Source organism: Homo sapiens, chromosome 12 (assembly GCF_000001405.40).
Source record: "Homo sapiens chromosome 12, GRCh38.p14 Primary Assembly".
In the NCBI taxonomy this organism is placed as follows: domain Eukaryota; kingdom Metazoa; phylum Chordata; class Mammalia; order Primates; family Hominidae; genus Homo; species Homo sapiens.
The window spans coordinates 64,912,238-64,931,164 of record NC_000012.12 but is presented as its reverse complement, the minus strand read 5'-3'; the positions used below and the strand labels follow the sequence as shown (position 1 = coordinate 64,931,164).

Sequence of the window (18,927 nt, the reverse complement as noted above, 5' to 3'; positions counted from 1 at the left end):
GAGGCAGCCTCTGTGATCATGAAGGGTCTTGGAGAAGGGGTCCTTGTCCCCTTCAGTACACTACTGCAGACACAGCTGGGGCTTCTCCCACAGGAATGCGGCATGTATGCACCTATAGATGGCGTTCCTAGAACAATTCAGGTGACAGCATCTCCACAGGAGGAGCACTCCCCAGATTCAGGTTTGCATGAAAGGCAGTCACAACTCCTCTCTACTTGGAACATAAACATTTCTACAGATGAAAAGAGGTGCTTGTCTGATCTGAATAGCTGAAACACTGGGACAGGAGTGAGGCTGGAAAGTGGATAGCTTTCCTGCTGGCCTGGCAGGGGAGATGAGGTAGCTCCCACCCGTCACTCTGATTAAACCTCAGCACATCAAATTGAGAACTACCCTAGCCAACTTCATCAAGACTGGAACTTCTTCCCACCGTTAGGTATTACATCTACCCACCTGCTTTAGCTACAACCAGTGCCTACCCAGGGATATCTCTCCCCCTTGCCTGAAGCCTAAATCATCAACTCACAAAATAAAATAGTGGAGGAAAATTAAATAAATAAAAGAAGTGTACACAATGGGCGGGTGCAGTGGTTCATGCCTGTAATCCCAGCACTTTGGGAGGCCAAGGCAGGCGGATCATGAGGTCAGGAGATCAAGATTATCCTGGCTAACACGGTGAAATCCCGTCTTTACTAAAAATACAAAAAAATTAGCCAGGCGTGGTGGCAGGAGCCTGTCGTCCCAGCTACTCAGGAGGCTGAGGCAGGAGAATGGCATGAACCCAGGAGGTGGAGCTTGCAGTGAGCTGAGATCACACCACTGCACTCCAGCCTGAGTGACAGAGCAAGACTCCATCTCCAAAAAAAAAAAAAAGTGTACACCATGAGAGAATAAAATAAGCTTCAAGAGATCCTTGTTATTCCAACCCCATAGGAGATAGTAAACTTGCCCACACACCAAGCACATAACTACTATAACTAGCACCTGGAATAGCCAGAGCACAAAGACTCTCTATGACTAAAGAACTCATACAGAGAGAGTCTTCACCTCTATAAGCATCAAGAATCAAATTAGGCTATAATAAACTATAAACATTAAAGTCATATCCTTCAGAGGGAAAAAAAGAAATTAAAAAAAAAAAAGAAAACCACAGTCAGCCAGGTGTGGTGGCTCACACCTGTAATCCCAGCATTTGGGAGGCTGAGGTCAGCCTCAAATGGATGTTGCAGTGAGCTGAGATCACGCTATTGCACTCCAGCCTGAGCAACAGGGTGAGACTCCATCAAACACACACACACACACACACACACACACACACGCACATAGTCAAATCAAAATTAAATTCAAGAACAATTTGAAGAAATAGTCTACCCAAATAAGAAGGAACCAGAAAAGTAATTCTGGTAATATGACAAAACAGAGTTCTATAACACCCCTAAAAGATCACACTAGCTTCCCAGCAACTGATGCAAACCAAGATGAAATCTTTAAATACCAGATAAGGAATTCAGAAGGTTGATTATTAAGCTACTCAAGGAGATACCAGAGAAAGGTGAAAACCAACATAAAGAATGGAAAAAGAGTTCAGGATACGAATGAACAATTTTCCAGACAGACAGCTATCATAAAGAAAAACCAATCAGGACTTCTGAAAATGAAAGATACACTTAGGAAAATACAAAATGCAGTGGAAAGTTTCAACAATAGACTAGAACAAGTAGAAGAAAGAATTTCAGAACTCAAAGACAAGGCTTTCTAATTAACCCAGACAGACAAAGATAATGAAGAGAGAATCAAAAGAAATGAACAAAGTCTCCAAGAATATGGGATTCTGTACAATGGCCAAAACTAAAAATAGCTGCTGTTCTGGAGGCAGAAGAGAAGTCTAAAAGTTCAGAAAACTTATTTGGGGAAATAATTGAAGAAAACTTCCCCTGGCCTTGCTAGATATCCAAATATGAGAAGCTCAAAAACACCTGGGAAATTCATTGCAAAAAGATCATCACCAAGGCACATAGTCATCAGGCTATCTAAAGTCAACATGAAAGAAAGAATTTTAAGAGTTGTGAGACAAAAGCATCAGGTAGCCTATAAAGAAAATCCTATCAAACTAACAGATTTCTCAGCAGAAACCTTACCAGCCAGAAGGGATTGGAGTCCTATCTTTAGCCTCCTTAAGCAAAATAATTGTCAGCCATGAATTTTGTATTCATCAAAACTAAGCTTCAGAAATGAAGGAAAGCTAGTCATTTTTAGACAAACAAATGCTGAGGGAATTTGCCACTACCAAACCAGCACTATAAGAAATACTAAAAGGAATTCTAAATCTTGAAACAAAAGCTTGATATGCACCAAAATAGAACCTCCTTAAAGCATAAATCTCACATGAAACAATAACACAGTGAAAAACACAAGGTATTAAGGCAACAACTAGCATGATGAATAGAATAGTACCTCATATCTCAATACTAACATTGAATATAAATGGCCTGAATGCTCCACTTAAAAGATACAGAATGGCAGAATGGTTAAAAAAAAAAAAAAATCCACCAACCAAGTATCTGCTATTTTCAAGAGACTCACCTAACACATAAGGACTCACATAAACTTAAGGTAAAGGGTGGAAAAAGATATTCCACATAAAGGGAAGCCAAAAGCAAGCAGGAATAGCTATTCTTGAATCAGACAAAACAGACTTTCAGAAAACAAGAGTCAAAAAAGATCAAGAAGGACATTATATCATGATAAAAGGATTAGTCCAACAGGAAAATATCACAATCCTAAATATATATGCACCTAACACTGGAGCTCCCAGATTTACAAAACAATTACTACTAGACTTAAGAAATGAGATAGACTGCAACACAATAATAGTGGGGGACTTCAGTACTCCACTGACAGCGCTAGACAGGTCAAGACAGTCAACAAAGAAACAATGGACTTAAACTATACCCTAGAACAAATGGACTTAACAGATATTTACAGAACACTCTTCCCAACAACTGCAGAATATACATTCTCATGAGCTTCTTGTCAGCACATGGAACACTCTCCAAGATAGACCATGTGATAGGCCACAAAACAAGTCTCAATAAATTTAAGAATACCAAAATCATATCGAGTATCTTCTCAGACACAACAGTGGAATAAAACTGAGAGTCAACTCCAAAACGAACCCTCAAAATTATAAAAATACATTGAAATTAAATAATCTGCTCTTGAATGATTTTTGGGTCAACAATGAAATCAAGATGGAAGTTTAAAAATTATTTGAAATGAATAATACTGATACAACTTATCAAAACCTCTGAGATACGGCAAAAGCAGTGCTAAGAGGGAAGTTCATAGTGTTAAATACCTACATCAAAGAGTCTGAAAGAGCACAAATTGACAACCTAATGTCACATCTCAAGGAACTAGAGAAACAAAAACAAACTAAACCCAAACATAGCAGAAGAAAGAACAAAGATCAGAACAAAACTAAATGAAATTAAAACAAACCAAAAAAAGATACAAAAGATGAATAAAACAAAAAGCTGGTTCTTTGAAAAGACCAACAAAATTGATAGACCATTAGCAAGACTAGTCAAGAAAGGAAGAGAGAAAATCCAAATAAGCTCGATTAGAAATAAAACTGGAAAGATTGCAATTGACACCACAGAAATACAAAAGATCATTCAAGGGTACTAAAAACACTTTTACACACATCAACTAGAAAATCCAGAGGAAATGGATAAATCCTGGAAACATACAACCTTCCTAGATGAAATTGGGGAGAAATAGAAACCCTGAACTGACCAATATCAAACAGCAAGATAGAATCAATAATTTGAAAATTGCCAACAACAAAAATGTCCAGGATCAGATGGATTCACACCTGAATTCTACAAGACACTCAAAGAAGAACTGGTACCAATCCTACTGAAACTATTCCAAAAGACAGAAAAAGAAGGTATCCTCCCTAAATCATTCTATGAAGCCAGTATCACCCTAATACCAAAACCAGGAAAGGATATAACAAATAAAGAAAACTATAGGCCAATATCCCTGATGAACATAGATGCAAAAATCCTCAGCAAAATACTAGCTAACTGAATCCAGCAGCACACATCAAAAAGATGATACATCATGATCAAGTAGGTTTCATCTCAGGGATGCAGGAATGGTTTAACACAAGCAAGTCAATAAATGTCATACATCACATAAACAGAATTATGAACAAAAATGGACACAGAAAAAGCATTTGATAAAATCCAGCATTGCTTTATGATTAAAAATAAAAAATTCTCAACAAAATAGGCATAGAAAGGACTTACCTCAAAGTAATAAAAGCTGTATATCAGCAGTCCCCAACCTTTTCGGCACTAGAGACTGGTTTTGTGGGAGACTGTTTTGTGAGGTGGGGTGGGAGTTTCAGGATGAAACTGTTCCACCTCAGATCACTGGGCATTAGTTAGATTCTCATAAGGATTGCGCAGCCTAGATCCCTCACATGCGCAGTTCACAATACGGTTCATGCTCCTATGAGAATCTAATGCTACCACTGATCTGACAGGAGGCAGAGCTCAGGTGGTAATGCCTGCTCACCAGCCACTCACCTCCTGCCGCGAGGCCCAGTTACTAACAGGCCATGGACCAGTACGGTCTGCAGCCTGGCGGTTGGGGACCCCTGCCATATATGACATACCCACAGCCAATATCATACCGAATGGGGAAATGTTTAAAGCATTCCCTGTAACAACTAGAACAAGACAAGGATACCCACTTTCACCACTTCTATTCGACATAGTACTGGAAATCCTAGACAGAGCAATCACAAGAGAAATAAATGAAGGGCATCCAAATTGGAAAAAAAAGAAAGTCAAACTGTCACTGTTCAGCAATGATATAACCATATACCTGGAAAGCCCTATAGACTCATCCAAAAAGCCCCTAGATCTGATAAATGAATTCAGTAGTCTCAGGTTACAAAATCAATGTACACAAATCAGTAGCACTGCTATACATCAACAATGACCAAGCTGAGAACTTAATCCCTTTTATAACAACTATAAAAAAAATAAAATACCTAGGAATATATTTAACCAAGGAGGTGAAAGACCTCTACAAGGAAAACTGCAAAACACTGCTGAAATAAATCATAGATTACACAAAAAAATGGAAACACATCCCATGCTCATGGATGGGTAGAATCAGTATTGTGAAAATGACTATACTGCCCAAAGCAATCTACAAATTCAATGCAATTCCCATCAAAATACCATCATCATTCTTCATAGAACTAGAAAAAACAATCCTAAAATATGTATGGAATCAAAAAAGAGCCCACATAGTCAAAGCAATTCTAAGCAAAAGTAATGAATCTGGAGGCATCACATTACCCAACTTCAAATTATACTACCAGGCTATAGGCTGGCTGTATTTACCAAAACAGCATGGTACTGGTATAAAAATAGGCATGTAGACCAATGGAACAGAATAGAGAACTCGGAAATAAAACCAAATACAACCAGTTGATCTTCAACATAGCATACAAAAACATAAATAGGGGAGAGGACACCCTATACAATAAATAGGGCAAGCCACATGTAGAAGAATGAAACTGGATACCCATCTTCATCTTATACAAAAATTAACTCAAGATAGACCAAAGATTTAAATCTAGGACCCGAAACCATAAAAATTCTAGAAGATAACGTTACAAACTCTTCTGGACATTGGCTTAGGCAAAAAATTCATGAAAAAGAACCCAAAAACAAAGGCAACAAAAACCAAAATGGATAAATGGGACCTACTGAAACTAAAAAGCTTCTGCAAAGCAAAAGACATCATCTCTGTCGCCAGACTGGAGTGCAGTGGTGTGATCTTGGCTCACTGCAATCTCCGCCTCCCGTGTTCAAGCCATTCTCCTGCCTCAGACTCCTGAGTAGCTGGGACTACAGGTGCCCGCCACCACGCCCAGCTAATTTTTTTTTGTATTTTTAGTAGAGATGGGGTTTCACCATGTTGGCCAGGATGGTCTCAATATCTTGACTTCATGATCCACCCACCTCAGCCTCCCAAAGTGGTAGGATTACAGACATGAGCCATTGTGCCTAGCTGCTTTTTTTCCTAATCTTTTTAAAATCAGGGAACTGAATACTTTCTTTTAAAAAAAAAGTTTTCTTCCACTCCTGTTTCTATTCACACACACAAACTAACAGAAGTATACACACACACCCCTTAATAAGCTACCTTGATCATGAAAAGGGGTCTTGACATGTGGTTTTTATCAATCATCTTCATATCCCAGCATCTAATATAATTTCAGATATATAACTGTCCAATTAACACATGCTGAGTTAAACTGAAAAAATATTTAACATACTATGATTTTGTGTTTTGCTTCCAAATGTCTATTAAGAATTGAAGCCATAAGCCTGGGCAACATGGTGAAATCCCATCTCTACAAAAAAATACAAAAATTAGCTGGGTGTGGTGCCATGCACCTGTAGTCCCAGGTACTCTGGAGGCTGAGGTGAGAGGATCACCTGAGCCCAGGGAGGCTGACGCTGCAGAGAACCGTGATTATGCCATTGCACTCCAGCCTGGGCAACAGAGTGAGACCCTGTCCTAAAAAAAAAAAAAAAAAAAAAAAAAAAAAACTGAAGCCATGCTGTGATTTGACAGAACCCCCAAGAAAATACGTCTATCATGTGCCACATGATGATGTTTCAGTGACGGACCCCAAATACAACAGTGGTCCTGTAAGATTATAATACCATATTTTTACTGTACCTTTTCTATACTTAGATATGTTTAGACACACAAATATTTACCAATGTGTTACAATTGTCTACAGCATTCAGTACAATAACCTGCTGTACAGGTTTGTAGCCGAGGAGCAATAGGCTATACCATATAGCCTGAATGTGTAGTAGTCTGTACCATCTAGGTTTGTGTAAGTGCACTCTGTGATATTTCCACAATGACAAAATCACCTAACAATACATTTCTTAGAAGATATCTTCATCATTATCGCTTCTCAGCCTTTTGGCTAAGATCAAGTGTAGAATATATCCTCATGATTAAGTGATACATGACTGTAACTCAGGAGCAATTAATTGCCTTATATATGTGAATAGTTAAGTATGAAAGTACACATTTGGATATGCCATTTTCTTCTCTTGTATTCTCAGGGAAATGTGTCTTGCTTTTGAGAAATAAACGTATTTACTTTTTATTTACATGACAATGGTTCTCATTCCCATTTTGCATTCACTTCTATTAAAAAGAGAAAAGGATGTCACTCTGCTTACTCCAGTTAGTCTGAATACCATGTTCAATATTTCATCTCTGCTGTACTCAGTGCCACAGTGCATGGAGCTAGCATTGTTGTTATGGTCAGATAAGCAGCTTAGCAAGATGAAACTAGAGTTTGAGGCAGATGTGGCCTGAGTTCCTCTTCCTCCAGCTTCTGATGATCTCATACTATGCCACACAGTGTGCTTCTCCTGTGCCAGCCTGTGCTGAGATGGGTATGTCTTTGAATCAAGGTTCTTTCAATTATTTTAAAGTATTCTTAATCTCTTCATGTGCAATGCAATCAATCAAAGTGCAATTTAAGAATCATCTTTACCAACCAATTTCAATAGAAAATAATTTTTCTCCAATATCCCCTGAAATACTGGCTGCCTGCCTTATGTGTTACCCAGGCAATGGATTTTCTCTATAAGCTGAGTATTCTGTGTCTGCCTTCTTTGCATTGCTGCTGTGACCTGGAGGTGGGAGAGAAAAATGGGAGAAGAATGCAAGGAAGGAGAGTCATGTTCTGATTGGAATCTGAGCTTAAACAGTTTTTCCTTTTGTGCAAATTTTGTGTCGTATGTCCCACCATCAGACATTCTTCTGAGTCCAGTTACTCAAGAGTAACCACCATCCAACCCATTCTTGCCTGCCCAGTATCAAACAGGCAATACAATGCAGGCACAATATGAGGAAATCATGCCATGTCACTGGCCCACTGATCTTGCAAGGTATAGAAATAAAATTGCTTTAATAACTTCTATTACCATAATATATTATGGTAATAATATATTAAATTAAACATATTATATTGAATAATATAACAATATATTAAATTTAACATATTATATTTAATAATATAACAATATATTAAATATAACATATATTTGATATATTATGTTATGTATTTTTATTGAATATTAAATATTATAGCCATAATATTTAACAACAGATAAGTTAACAGGTGCCACCATTCAGAGCAGACATGTGGAGTAATTAACTGGTACAATTAACTGGTACTTATTGACTAAATGTTACTTATTGGAAATAGCTGGGTTTTGGAAAAATTTTTTCCATTATTTTCTCAGATACTTGTGGCATAACTAAAATTTGTCCTTGGAACACCTGTGTGGACAAAAATATTGAGAGTGAGTCTGCTCCAAGGTAGGAAGCAGAGCCCTACAGGGCACATAAGAAAAACAGCATAAAGCCACCACCTTGTCAGCATTCGTAACCCACCTGCCTGTACTACACCCTTATTGCTATTCTCAGCCAATCCCATGGGGCAGTCACTCTGCCTCAGGAATGCCAGTGAGCAGGAGTGGGCAATTTGACATGTATCTTCCAGATGATTGCCAAATCAGAGCCCTGACATAAGCCTTCTGTTTTCACCCTTCCATCCCTGACGGGCCAGCCCTGTGGCCTTCCTTGCTCAGAGAAATTTTATTTTCTGAAAGAAAAGAAATGCTAGGCCTTTCTTATGGAAGAAGTAAGGGATCATGGGGTAAGCAACTGACTGAAAAAAAAGAGGTTAAGGACTACTTCCCTGGGGGCACGAGATTCAAGTATGGAAGGGCTCAAGGTCATCCGAAAGTAACTTTGCCTGCGAGTGTTCAAAATGGGTCCTGATGTGCCTTTGCCTGCGAGTATTCACAAAGGGTCCTAATATAGAAGGGGTTCCTGGTTTGCTTTTCCAAAGTATTCTAGTAAATCAAACCATGAGTGTGAATCTGTTACAGGTAGTTAGGCATGAGCAGGCAGGAGAGGGCTCTTCCCCCTACCCACTAGAAATGCAGGATGATGGTTTGGCAATCATCACATTGCCTCTCTAAAAATGATAATTCGGCAGCCAGGGAGAGACAAGCTCTTGATGGTCCACACCTGTTAACACTAAAAGTGTTAACTGAATGCAGACCCCAGGGAGAAGCAGCTTCTTGGGCATGCGTGTTAAGAGACAAAATGGCGAAGGATGACGTTCCAGGGGCAGAGGCCACTTGAAAAAGCCTCAGATGGGCATGCGTGTAACTCCCAAAACAGGCTGTTCGTGCTCAATTGCAAAGGGTAGGGAAAGCACTGCCCAGGCAAGCCCACCCTAAGGAAAGAATCATGGGAAAGAGGGAACCTATAAAGTCATAGGATCAAGGTTAAAGGCCTTTTGTTTTTTTGTTTTTTTGTTTTTTTTGGCTGCCTTCTTTTTCTCTCTTTGACTTTCAGGAGCCCACTTGGATCTCTTCCAAGGGATCTTTCTTTCTTCTCTTATTAAGGCAGGTGAGGATGTCATTTGATATGAGCTTTTCATTCATTTGTTAATTTCACAAATATAGAGCTCCTCTCCACACAAGATAGCATGGTGAGATGAGTAAAACAGAGTCCTTGACTTAAAGATACATACAAATCCCCATACCTTTTCGTTCACATTCTCAGGATAATTGCTTAGTTTCCTCAATGTGAGTGACTAATTACAGAAAGGGACATGAGGCCAGGCACCATGGCTCACACCTATAATCCCAGCACTTTGGGAGGCCAAGGTGGGTGGATCACCTAAGGTCAGGAGTTCGAGACCAGACTGGGCAACATGGTGAAACCCGGCTCTACTAAAAATACAATAGCCAGGTGAGGTGGTGGGCACCTGTAATCCTAGCTACTTGGGAGGCTGAGGCACTAGAATTGTTTAAACCCAGGTGGCAGGGGTTGTGGTGAGCTGAGATCACGCCACTGCCCTCCAGCCTGGGCAACAAAGTGAAACTCCATCTCAGAGAAAAAAAAAAGGAAAGAAAACAACATAATAATCTGACATTTTCTGTTCACAGAGAATCATGGGAACCATTATAACAAAGAAGTCAAGAGTGTTGGTGTGGAGTGGACCTTGGTTTGAATACTCAGCTCTGCCACTTACTAGCTGTAGGCTCATATGCAAGTTACTATCCTCATCTGTTAAAAAGGAATAATATCTAATGTTATATAAAATGTAAAAGTTATTTCACACAATGCCATTCACATAGTAAATGTTCAATAAAAGCAAAAACCTCAGGACATATATAAGTGGCAATGTGAAATTAATACAGCAGAAGCTCAGTTCACACAGATGTTAATCCTTAAACAAGCCTTGCATTGTATGAGTATCCCACAAAAGGAGTAAGGGAAGAAGATCTTACATCACTGGAGTGAGTGACTACCATGGACCAGCCACCGTTACTCACTTTACTTCATTTAACCCGCACAATAGCCTCATGAGGTAGATATCATCACCATTTTGCAGATGAGAAAGCTGAAGCTAAGCAAAGTTGACCTGACCAAAATCACATAGCAATTAAGATAGGAGTCCAGCTTCGTCTCATTCCAATATGAGTGCGTTTTCCTCTTTTCCATTGGCTCTCAAAGTTTGGTCTTAAAGGAGCTGTATCAGCATCACCTGGGAACTTATTAGAACTGCACCTTCTCAGCCCTACCCCAAACCCACTGGGTCAGAAACTCTGGGGTTGGGGCCTAGCCATCTGTGTTTCACACTCAGACTGACACACGATCATTTCTGATAACCACTGCTCTATGACATGCGTTTCCTCTTCAGTTAGGATCCGACTCCTTATTTTGTATTTAACAAGGAGTATGAAACAAAGCCCGGGCTCTGAATTTGTATTCCTCAGCAATAATGTGTCAAGTAATCTTAAACAAGCAAACCCCTGGCCCATTCCAGCCCATAGTGCATGTGCGGAAGAAAAGTAGAAATTAATATTGGGGCCATTTTGCATATTCCTAAACCCGTAAGCTAGTCTCTTTGGAGAACGTTAAAGCTTTGCTATTGTCACAACTAGTGGTGTCACTTCCCACCATTCCTGTTAGTCTTGGGCAACATGATATATTTATTAAGCTCCTACTATGTGCCACTGGGAGAAGAGTGAAGAACAAAATCAGCAAAGCCTCCCCTCAGGGAGCATATGATCCGATCTTTCCCAGCAGTGGACTCTTGTTGGTCATTCCTAGAATCCCAAGACCCTTCTCTTTTATCGTTCCCCCCACCAAACCTATCTACATTTAGAATGGGAATAACTATAACTTCTAGGCAAGTAACTGTAACTCCTAACTGAGATCATTTACTCAAACTCCCCTGGATCACACATAGCCTGTCCACCCAATGTAGTATAGCTGACTCCTCTGGTCTGAATGTGCCCCCTCAAAATTCACATATTGAAACCCTGACCCCCAAGTCGACAGTAATTAGGAGGTGAGGATTTGGGGAGGTGACTGTGACTCATGCCCTTATAAAAGACGCCCCAGAGAGACCCCTCACCCCTTCCACCGTGTGAGCACACAGCAAAAACTACCTTGTATGAACCAGAAAGTAAGTCCTCACTAGACAATGAATCTGCCAGCACCTTGATCTTCCACTCCCCAGCCTCCAGAACTGTGGGAAACAAGTTTATAAACCACCCAGTTTATGATACGTTGTTATAGCAGCCTGAACAGACTAAGACACTGACCAAATGATAAGGATCAGAGAAAAGCCAATCAAGCTTGGAGAAACCATTTTCCAAGCACCCACTGTACCAGCAGCCCAAGAATCATTCAGAATTGTCCTGGCCATTACGCTGTGTGCCCATGGATCTCAGCATGAGTCTGAAGAATCAGCTCTGCCAAGCCAGGACCCAGACCCTCCAGCATTTTAGTCCAATGTTCTCTGCACTCCCCGGGTGATGGTGTGATGCTGGAGTTACCACAAGTCATCAGCCTCACTAGCCAAAGGGCAAATACCCTGAATTTGCTCTTTATTGACTATATGAGAACCACATTGCTTCACACTGAAAACAAGTACTATTTGAAGTATAAAAGGACTCCTAATCTATATTCCACCTGCCGCTAGCTCTGTCTTTGAAAGCCATTGCCTTCACTGAATGATTCCAGCTGGTGCTCTCCTCTGTGCTGGCTTTTATGGGCTATAAGGATGGATACACAAGGTGTAGGTCAGTTTTTTAGGGAATGTAGAAGCCTTGCCCTCTCAACTCAACACATGCTTCTCTTTTCTTCTTCCCTCTATCCTGGAATTAATGGGGATAAATGTTGCTAAAGCATCTAGTTAAATGTTCTTAGATAATTCTGGTCTGTACACTGATTGACCAGAAAACAGAAATGACTTCATCTGAAAGAAAACTAATATATGTGGGAAAGAGGAGTGATCGGCTGTAATATTTATGTTTTCCTGTCTCTTGTGTGAATTCACAGGCAACTTCCAGAATAAAATCCTCACATGTTTTTTCCATCAATTGAAGAATTTGAATCTCTCTTATTGGCAGAGTTTTTCCTTCTTTAAATTTCCCTCCCACCTCACAATGTGCCTGCTACAAGTTTGCGTCATAAATCCCAGTATAAAATTCCCTGTTGCTTAACTTGCCCATAAATGTGGAGCATGTAGTCATGTTATATGATTCCTGGCCTGAACATAAATTTCCTGTAGTCTAGAGGTGCCTTAAGAAGGAGCTAATATGTTCACCTGCTTGTTTTCCAGGCAATAAACCCACAACAGGTGAAATGGGGAGGAAATTTAAATAAGATCAAAAGGTAGGTTCAAAAGAATGGACAAAGCCATCTGGAATGCCTCAGTGCTGCCAATCTCAAATATAAGACCCGGTGGAATTTTAAGTAGAATTTCTAGTTTTCCCTTCTTTTCGACCAACTAAATGTCAAAAAACAAGAGAAAACTAGAAATCCCACTTAAAATTCCACTGGGAATTTAAGGAGGATGCTCATTTTTTTCCAGAGGTTGGGTAAGATAAGAGCAAGTAAAAAGTACTGATTTCTTCTAAGTTCATTGTCAACAACCTCTTTCTCCTCTTCATCCCCCTGGCCTCCACTCTTGTTGCTTGAATATGTGTTTAGCTTCCTCTAGCATTTTACCTTGCAGAATGAGCTTGGGGCATTTGGAAGTTATTTGCTGAGTTATACGGGGAGATTTTTACTTTGGATTTCAAATTACTCTGCAGATGACAACCCTGTATTGCTGAAAAGAATTTTCTGAACAAGAAATAACTGTTCCACTATGCAGCCATAAAAATTAAAAATTAAAAAGTTAAAAAGAAATAACTATTCCAGTAGGAGTGTAAATTGATACAGCTTTTAATATAATTTGGTAATATGTATCAAAATCCTTGAAATTATGACCATTACTTGACCCAGTAATTCCACTTATATGAATTCATCCTTAAAAATTATTGTACAAAGACAAGAACAGATATGAACAAGGATATTCATTGCAGCATTGTTTAGTACAGGAGAAGTTTGAAACAACCTAAATGTCTAGAAATAAATGATTGGTTAAATAAATTCTGCTATATCCATAATGAGAACTATTATGCAGTCATTAAAATGATGACAGAGATTACAGGTTTGGATAAGGATGAATGTCTATCTTATGGTAGCCATTTATGCCTCGTCTTCCACTATTGGAATGCTAAGCATGTGGGAGTTATTTATATCCTACTGCTCAAGTTCATCACCAAGGTCTGATTGCAAAAATTCAAAAATTTGCAACCTCAGGCATAAACGGGTTAATAAGTGAAAAAAGCAAGCTACTAAACAAGTTGTATAGCTATTATCTCTCTAAAAATTATATATATATATGCACATAAGATTTATGAAATGTCTCCTATGAAATTCTTTTTAACAGACCACACACTGAAGTTCAATAAGTACACATTAAGAATTTGTCATGCTAAAATACGATTATGTTTTGTCCTACAATTATAGTGAAGTAAAATCCACAAGTATTTCCCATTAAGATTTGAGCCTTCAAAGCCTCTCCCATGTTGGGCTCATTATGCTCATGCTATTTTTGGGTCAACATGACATGCCTCCCTCTTCCATTTTGAATGTTTTTCATTGAAAAAAAAAAAACAGGTTTTATTTGTGGCAGTTTTTAGGAACTCTGACATAAATAAGAACACACACATCCAGGACAGCTATTTACACACAGTGTCAGAAAATATTTCATTGTAGTGGCTTCTCTTGAATAGAGGCCAAAGCCTGAGTTGGAATTGGCTAAAAAGAAAAAAAAAGCCTTACAAGTAAGTTTCTCTAAAACAGATTTAGTACACATTTCTGTGCAAGAGCTTTAAACACATTTCCATTCTAATTAAAAATATAATTGGCAACATACATCTTTAAGCTATGAATATTTTGGTAGAGGAAATTCAAAGGCCAGCAATTATATACATCTCTAAAAAGCTTAATTATTCACTAAAGGAGAAAAACAAGTTTTTAAACAAACAAAAAGAGCTGTAATATTAACTGTTGACATTTAATTCTCCAACTTTGGTGACTTACCATTATAAATGATGCTGTAAGCTGAAATCAAAGACAAAACTCCTACTCTAGCCACTAGTGTAACCCTCAACTCTGGCTGCCCCACCTTGTCCAGTGACCACTCACTAGTGATTCTGACTTTATATGTCTGGAGTGGAACCCACACATCAGGATTTTTTCAAAGCTTCCTAGGGGCTCTAATACATAACCATAATTTAGAAGTCCTGTACCTTTATAACTGATAACCCTTGATTAGCAATTACTCCAACACCCAGAATGAATGAAGTGCTACAAGATTTAAATAGTCTTAAAACATCACTTAATCCAACCCTTATTTTGCAGTGGAAGACACTCAGGTCTGGCAACTTCCTTTATTATTTTCTTATTTTAGCGATAAAAAGAGAGGGTGAAACCTAGTGTCTCCCAGAGGATTGTCTTCATCCCCTCTCACATTTACTCAATTCTCAACCATTTTTTCCCCACATAGGCACAAAATTCTATAGCCACCATCTCTCTATTCAGTGAGTGGGATTTTAAATTCTCAATACAGACTAGGACAAAAGCCACTTTGCTGAATACTTTTGCTGCACCCAGCATTAGCTCACATCATCACAACTCTGTAAGATGGGTACTATCCTATCTTCATTTTATTGATAAGGAAACTGATATTCAAAGGACTTAAATATTTTGCCTAATGTCAGACACCTGGAAATGGTAGAACTGAGATAGGAACCTAGATCTACTCAACTTCAAGTCATCAGAAAAGAGAATGATAGAGGAGCTCCACCTGGGATAAACCCACAACCCAAAGTCCTGGTTATCATTAACTTAGAGATGAGATCTCACAAGAACCTATTCATATTGTTTCCATTTCCTTGTGTACTGCCAAGACAGCAGGAAGCAGAAGTATAGCAATTGAATGGGAAAATGAGAAAAGTAAAGCTCTTGATACCAAGGGTTAAGGCTTTGTTGAGGAAATGCCACAAGTAATCTTCATGGGCCTTTACCTGCAAGGCAGAAGTGCAGTCAGAAGGGCTCGGCTTTCACAGGATGCACCTTTGCCATCATCCCCGGCAGGCCACCCAAGCAGATCCTATGGCTGATTCCCTTTGAAATGTTCTTCAGGTCTCATGTTATCCATTGCGCATGCTCCTCAATCTACATGGCACTCCCTTTCCCTCCTCCTTCACCTGGCTAACTCCTGCTCATCTTTCAACATCAGCTCAGTCTTCCAGGGTCCCCTGATCTCTGAAGACCAGATCCCATAGTCCTCTTTTGTGCACCCATAACAGCCAATGACACTGCCATCAAACCTTGCTAGGTTGACTTGTCTATTTACTTTTCTGCCTGCTACCAAAATGCCAGTTCCTTTCCGTCAGACCTGCATATCCCACATACACAGGCCTCAGCTCATTCCCTAGCACGGAACAGGCACTCAAAAAACCGATGTGGGAATAATACACAAATAAACAATAAATGTGTAGTCATTCCAGATAGGTGGATAGAATAAAGCATGGCAATGCATTTGGAACAGAGAAAATGTTATGCTTTTCTTTATAATTATAATTTTAAAAATTATTTCCTTTATAATTCACAGTTGGCATTACCACCTCTCTTAGGAAGGGAAGTATTTCGTTCTGAAAAAGTATTTTACCCAAACTGGAGTGCTCAGTGAGATGCTCCCCTCTCTCCCTACCTCACCCCTCTCCCCTGGTTAGGTCCTATAGAGGGGCTAGGACCAAAGCTCCAGAAATAAGAATGAAGTTATTCTGCATCAAAAAGGAATGTACTTTGAAGTTTCATGGGCAATCCAGGAGGAAGGAGTGTGCAGACGAGGAAGAAGTCAGTGAGATGCTGAAAGCCTACATATTCTGCAATGTGGTTAACTCCTATTGACACTACAGTTCAAAAAAAAGAAAAAACTAAACTCATGAATTACACATGAATTTTTTTGTTTATTTTTGTGGGCTTTTTTTTAGATTTATTGAGGTATAATTAACAATAAAACTTGTTACAATTAACCTTCAAGTCATACAATATGATGTTTTGATATATGTGCACATTATGTAATGATGACCACCATCAAACTAATTAACATATCCATCACCTCACATACATTTCTGTTGTGGGGAGATTACTTAAGGCCAACTCTCCTTGGTAACTTCAAGTATACGATACATTATTATTAACTATAGTCACTGTGCTGTACATTAGATCCTGGAACTTATTCATCTTAGAACTGCACGTTTGTATCCTTTGACCCACATGTCCCCATTTCTCCCACCCCACCCCACCCTGCCCCCAGTAACCACCATTCTACTCTCTATTTTTGTGCTAAACCCATGAATTCTTAAGTAAGTTGTTTTAACATGTTGTAGATTCAAAGTGGCAGCCAAGTTTCACACTGTAGTTGATGTGGAGCACGATGGAAACAGCCCATTAGGACAAAAGAGCAAAAAATACTGATTTCATCAGTTTCCCAGGCTTCCTCTAATGGCCTCCTCTGCAAAGCAGGACACTAGGAAAACTGCTAACCTGTTGAACGGACAACAGCACTCAGAAGGTGATGGAAGCAATAAAGGAAACTGCTGAATGAGCCAGCAAATGAGGAGATGTGGCTGCAGCTAACTGCATAAGTCAGAATATTAGCTTAGAGCTTATTCGATGGGGCAAATGCAGTCAGACCTGGCAACTGGAGCTGCTTCAATATAATGGAATGTTCAGGGCACAGCCCAGCACTCAGAACAAGGGCTTCATCTCCTAAGTCACCGGGACATGGAGAATGGCCAAGGCTGCCACATGGAACACACAATCTAAGGCATCCCCCCACGGGTGACCATAAATGCCCCCTGGTTGGGGGTAAGGAAAGAAAGTGTAGGACAGCTCAAACACATCCCACCATGCAGGATGGACTCAGGACTGAGGTAGGGACCCAGACTTAGGAAAAACAGAATGACAGAGGATGTTAGAAGGTGAACTATGTCAGGAATAGTCGAAGGAACTGGGAAGGCTTGGCCAGAGAAGACAAGATCTGGGCATGAGAAGGGTGAGTGGCTTAAGGGGAGAGATAGAAACTCTTTTCCTATTTTTGAAAAGTTGCCCCATAAGGGCAAAATGAAATGTGATCTATGTGGCACTAGAGGGCAGAGCCAAGACTAATGAATGAAAAGTTTTAAGGAAGCAAGATGGGATTTAGATGAGGAAGTCGCCTCTAGCATCATGGTTTTCAGTGGTGACAATCCTGCCCCATAAGGAGCATTTTGGAGATTTATACAGGCTTTTGTAACTTCTAATATAGTCATACTAGAGCATTTACATGTTAAAATACAAACATTTATTACAAGTTTCTTTCCTGTTCCTTCTCCTTTGTATTACAGTTAAGGCAAAATATTTACTTTTAAAAGATTATATGTGTGAGTTACATTATGTATAGATTTCATTTTGGAGTAGAAAAGAAGCTGTTACCAAATATACACTATGAAAATGGGGCCAAAAATACATTATGAAATTGACTTTGCCTGCAATGGGACCCGCTGCTCTGGCAGAAAAGTGACAAACCAAAGGATCTTGGCCAAATCTGCCTATAAGCATTTTTGTGGGGTATGTTCTGTATTCTTCAAAATTTTGAATTAGTTGCTGACATTTAAATGCTGGGAGATATGTACACATCCAGCAAGTAGGCTGCACTGCTGCTTGGCAAAAACTCACCCTGGAAAAGGTAAGACAGCTCCCTTTGGAAAGGGGATCCATGTCTCTGGCCACCCTCCTGCACCCAGGCTCGCTTCACCCACTTACACCATTGGCCTTGGCCTTTGGATCAGATTGTGGCTCCTGCTCTCCAACTCAAGCTCTCAGTAAATCAACACAGTACGCATTGGGGCTGGCATTCCTCCCTGGCAGAGACCCTATATGGGAGAGTGAGGGAAGACTGACTCATCTGCCTGGAAAGAGATCTCAACTTTTCAAGGTTGTGGCTGTTTGGGGGAATCTCATAAAGCCTATTCATGCTTCCCCAGAGAAGTACACAGCCACACAAAAGGTTGCTTATAATTTCAATAGATATTGGACCCCTTATATCTTATTCTGCTTAAAATTAAGATTCCAGCTCTAATATGCTGTGGAGCCCAGCTGGCTAACCAAATCATACTTCCCATCCCAACTCTAATTTGGGGGATTTTTTTCTATGTGTAATCAGATAATTTTTGATAGACTCCCCATAGGGATAACGACATTTAGTCTGCTACACCTGTGGACAGTCAGGCAGCTACTGAATGCTAGTGAAATAACGGTTCTTTGAGTCAAGCAAGTAAGTAACACCTAAAATCTGCTATTCTTGGAAGCTGCCTGCTT

The 18,927-nt window shown here is 39.6% G+C and overlaps 2 long non-coding RNA genes and 1 pseudogene across 2 annotated transcripts in view; 2 read left to right on the top strand and 1 right to left on the bottom strand.

Annotated features, from left to right (window-relative positions):
- Positions 1 to 10,320, top strand: part of LINC02231 (long intergenic non-protein coding RNA 2231) — a 71,447-nt gene extending 61,127 nt beyond the window's left edge. The window contains exon 4 of the long non-coding RNA NR_146276.1: positions 10,095 to 10,320. This is a non-coding gene — a long non-coding RNA (long intergenic non-protein coding RNA 2231). The remainder of the gene's footprint in view (positions 1 to 10,094) is intronic.
- LINC02389 (long intergenic non-protein coding RNA 2389) overlaps positions 1 to 18,927 on the bottom strand; it is a 93,749-nt gene that overhangs the window by 46,358 nt on the left and 28,464 nt on the right. The window lies entirely within an intron of this gene.
- LOC124903125 (uncharacterized) lies at positions 7,017 to 7,194 on the top strand (annotated as a pseudogene).